General features: G+C 45.0%; 1 pseudogene; it reads left to right on the plus strand.

Moving 5' to 3' along the window:
• The window catches only part of ENPP7P4 (ectonucleotide pyrophosphatase/phosphodiesterase 7 pseudogene 4), a 61,192-nt pseudogene that overhangs the window by 49,515 nt on the left and 6,589 nt on the right, over positions 1-5,088 (plus strand).

Genomic DNA, 5,088 nt, shown 5'->3' on the forward strand with positions numbered 1-5,088 from the left:
CTGGTCCTGAACATCCAGAATTATGGAGGCTTACTGTGGCCTCACACCACATTAGAATTTGGTCTGGAAATCAAACTTTAGAAACAAGAGATCATAAGCCATTTTATACTATCGACCTAAATTCCAGTCTAACACTTCCTTTACAAAGTTGCGTAAAGCCCCCTTATATGCTAGTTGTAGGAAATATAGTTATTAAACCAGACTCCCAGACTATAACCTGTGAAAATTGTAGATTGCTTACTTGCATTGATTCAACTTTTAATTGGCAACACCGTATTCTGCTAGTGAGAGCAAGAGAGGGCGTGTGGATCCCTGTGTCCATGGACCGACCGTAGGAGGCCTCGCCATGCGTCTATATTTTGACTGAAGTATTAAAAGGTGTTTTAAATAGATCCAAAAGATTCATTTTTACTTTAATTGCAGTGATTATAGGATTAATTGCAGTCACAGCTACGGCTGCTGTAGCAGAAGTTGCATTGCACTCTTCTGTTCAGTCAGTAAACTTTGTTAATGATTGGCAAAAAAATTCTACAAGATTGTGGAATTCACAATCTAGTATTGATCAAAAATTGGCAAATCAAATTAATGATCTTAAAAAAACTGTCATTTGGATAGGAGACAGACTCATGAGCTTAGAACATCGTTTCACGTTACAATGTGACTGGAATACGTCAGATTTTTGTATTACACCCCAAATTTATAATGAGTCTGAGCATCACTAGGACATAGTTAGACGCCATCTACAAGGAAGAGAAGATAATCTCACTTTAGACATTTCCAAATTAAAAGAACAAATTTTTGAAGCATCAAAAGCCCATTTAAATTTAGTGCCAGGAACTGAGGCAATTGCAGGAGTTGCTGATGGCCTCGCAAATCTTAACCCTGTCACTTAAGACCATCGGAAGTACTACAATTATAAATCTCATATTAATCCTTGTGTGCCTGTTTTGTCTGTTGTTAGTCTGCAGCTGTACCCAACAGCTCCGAAGAGACAGCGACCATCGAGAACAGGCCATGATGACGATAGTGGTTTTGTCGAAAAGAAAAGGGGGAAATGTGGGGAAAAGCAAGAGAGATCAGATTGTTACTGTGTCTGTGTAGAAAGAAGTAGACATAGGAGACTCCATTTTGTTATGTACTAAGAAAAATTCTTCTGCCTTGAGATTCTGTGACCTTACCTCCAATCCCGTGCTCTCTGAAACATGTGCTGTGTCAACTCAGAGTTGAATGGATTAAGGGCGGTGCAAGATGTGCTTTGTTAAACAGATGCTTGAAGGCAGCATGCTCCTTAAGAGTCATCACCACTCCCTAATCTCAAGTACCCAAGCACACAAAAACTGCGGAAGGCCGCAGGGACCTCTGCCTAGGAAAGCCAGGTATTGTCCAAGGTTTCTCCCCATGTGATAGTCTGAAATATGGCCTCGTAGGAAAGGAAAGACCTGACTGTCCCCCAGCCCGACACCCGTAAAGGGTCTGTGCTGAGGAGGATTAGTAAAAGAGGAAAGAATGCCTCTTGCAGTTGAGACAAGAGGAAGGCATCTGTCTCCTGCCTGTCCCTAGGCAATGGAATGTCTCAGTATAAAACCCGATTGTATGCTCCATCTACTGAGATAAGGAAAAACCGCCTTAAGGCTGGAAGTAGGACCTGCAGGCAGCAATACTGCTTTGTAAAGCATTAAGATGTTTATGTGTATGCATATCTAAAAGCACAGCACTTAACCCTTTACATTGTCTATGATGCAAAGACCTTTGTTCACGTGTTTGTCTGCTGACCCTCTCCCCACAATTGTCTTGTGACCCTGACACATCCCCCTCTTCGAGGAACACCCACAGGTGTGGAAAGGCAACCCACCCCTACAGGCCCAGAGCACAATTTTAACCACCATATCATTCTGCCTCTGGGTAGGTCAGTCAAGCTCTGTAGCTGATCAGATGCCTGTAGAGAGAAGGAGACATCAGTCTCCCCTTCTTCCAAACACCCCCAAATTTTACAAGTGATTTTCTCAGATCCCTCAGCATCAGGAATGGGGATGAACAGGGCAGCCTGTCCCTTTCCCAACAGCCCAGCAGATATCCCAAGATTATATCTCATTGGCTCTGACTAGGACATGAGCCCAAACTGAACCAGTTGCTGTAGCCATGGCATGCAGCATCCTCTGTCCTCTGGCCAGGCCAGAGCCACATCCCACTTCTGGATCCTCGAGTTGAGTCAATACATCTAGAACCAGGCACGGACTGAAGCTCAAGGAGGAGTCAGAGTAATGAGACCCAGCCCACTGTGTAGTGGGTGCTGAGCAGGAAAGCATTCATCACTCACTGCACACACCAGGGAAGGCTTGCGGTGGCTTAGTCCCACCTGGGGTCAAAGAAAAGATTGCCTGCTTTGTGCCAAAATGTGATACCCAACACTGTATCTTAAAGCTAGCTGGCTTTGTAATCCCAGCTACTTGGGAGGCTGAGGCAGGAGAATCACTTGAATCCAGGAGGCAGAGGTTGCAGTGAGCCAAGATCACGCCATTGCACTCCAGCCTGGGTGACAAGAGAGAAATTCTGTTTCCAAAAAAAAAAAAAAGCTAGTTGGCTTAATCCTCGCAAAGATGCCATCTACTTTTTGGCATTCTACAGGTAGAAACACTGAGACACTGGAAAATGCTAAAACTCACCACCAGCCAGGAGCGGTGTCTCACACCTGTAATCCCAGTACTTTGAGAGGCTGAGGCAGAATTACTTGAACCCAGGAGTTCAGGACCAGCCTGGGCAAATTAGCGAGACCTCATCTCTACAAACACTAAAAAAAAAAAAAAAAATTAGGGCTAGGTGCGGTGGCTCACACATGTAATCCCAGCACTTTGGGAGGCCAAGGCAGGTGGATCACTTCAGCCCAGGGGTTCGAAACCAGCCTAGCCAACACGACAAAACTCTATCTCAACTAAAAATACAAAACTTAGCTGGGCATAGTGGCACGTGTCCATAATCCCAGCTACTTGGGAGGCTGAGGCAAGAGAATTGCTTGAACCCAGGAGTCAGAAGTTGCAGCGAGCTGAGATCGTGCCACTGCACTCCAGCCTAGGTGAGAGAGTGACACCGTGTCTCAAAAAAAAAAAAAAAAAAGGTATGGTGGTACATGCCTGTGGCCCCAGCTACACAAGAGGCTGAGGTGGGAGGATCGCTTAAGCCCAGGAGTTCAAGGGTGCAATGAGCTATGATTGTACCACTGCACCACTATATATACACACATATATATGTGTATGTATATAGGTATGTCTATATATACACATATCTATACATATGTGTGTGTATATATATGTGTGTATATATATAAAAAACACACATGCACGGATTCACCACCACCAACTCAGAAATTACCGTCTCCCTCTATTCTAAGGAATCATTTTTCATTTTGCCATCTCTGAAGTTGGAATACACCTTACAATCACTGGAATGTCACGGTCTCGTTGGCAGCATTTTTCTGCTTAGTAGCCCATAAAATAATAGCACATCTTGTAACTAACAGTGTTGTAGATGCTATGAGATCCTGGGGAAGCCCAGAATCTAACTCCACCTTGTCTGACTCCAAAGACCACATATTTTCTACGTCTTTGGACTGGGGTACAAATGTAGACAACTCGAGCTTTGCTGATTGTGAGAAAGGTATGAGAAATGGCCCTGATGGAATTTTCTTCTTGTACTTGCAGGGGAACAAAGCAGCATCATCCCACTATTCCAGGGGAGGTGCTAAATATGAGGGTGAGGCTGTCAAGCGGTCCCTGGTGGAGTCCTACACTCACCCGAACAGCAAGGAGACAGAGCGGAGGGAGAACATCGATACCGTATTGAACTGGTTCACCAAGGAAGAATTTGACTTTGTGACTCTGTACTACAGAGAGCCAGATAACATGGGACATCGATTCAGGCCAGAGGCAGAGAACAGGAAGTTGATGATTCAGCAAATCAACAGGACCATCGGGTATCTGGTGGGAGCCACTGAGAAGCACAGCCTGCAGAGCACCTCAGCGTCATCATCACATGAGACCATGGGATGACCACCGTGAAGAAGAGACCCAATGTCAACAAGATCCCTTGTCCAACTACATCAAGTTCAGGGACTGTGTCAAGTTTGATATTGTGGGCTACGGTGGCTTTGGGATGCCCCTAACCAAATTGGGGCAAGAGGAAGCCCTTTACCAGGCACTGAAGAATGTGCACCCTGACCTCCACGTCTACAAGAAGGAGTTTCCAGAAGACTTCCATCTCGCTAAACATGACCAAGTTCTGCCAATCATGATGTATGCCAACTGTGGTTACAGTATCAATGGGGTAAGTTCATTCTAAAATGAATAAAGTCACTTTGGAACTAGGAGACAACCATTAGGGAAGGGTGGTTCTGCAAAAATCAAACATAAGTGCACAGCCAGGCACGGTGGGTATCACCTGAGGTCAGGAGTTTGAGACAAGCCTGGCCAACATGGTGAAACCCCATCTCTACTAAAAATACAAAAATTAGCCAGGCGTGGTGGCGTGCATCTGTAGTTCCAGCTACTCTGGAGGCTGAGGCAGGAGAATCGCTTGAACCTGGGAGGCAGAGGTTGCAGTGAGCCAAGATCATGCTACTGCACTCCAGTCTGGGCAACAGAGTGAGACCCTGTCTCAAAAAAATATAATATAATAAAACAAAACAAAACTAAATAAAATAAAATAAAATAAGTGCACACACTACGAGTTGTAGCCCACAGGGTCCTAAATGTTCCCCACCCCCCGCCCAACCAATGCTGCCCCAAATTACCATTATACAAGATTAATGACCAATTCAACTTGACAAGGCTGATTTAAAAATAAAAATAAGGCTGGCCATGGTGGTTCACACCTGTAATCTCAGTGCTTTGGGAGGCCAAGACAGGAGGATTGCTTAAAGCGAGGAGTTCAAGACCAGCCCGGGCAACATAAGGAGACCCCATCTCTATAAAAAACAAACAAATAAATAAATAGCCAGACATGGCGATGCATGCCTGTAGTCCCAGCTACTCAGGAGGCTGAGGTGGCAGGATTTCTTGAGCCCAGGAGGTCAAGGCTGCAGTAAGCTGTGATTGC

The sequence above is a fragment of the Homo sapiens genome, chromosome 3, assembly GCF_000001405.40.
Source record: "Homo sapiens chromosome 3, GRCh38.p14 Primary Assembly".
Lineage (NCBI taxonomy): Eukaryota > Metazoa > Chordata > Mammalia > Primates > Hominidae > Homo > Homo sapiens.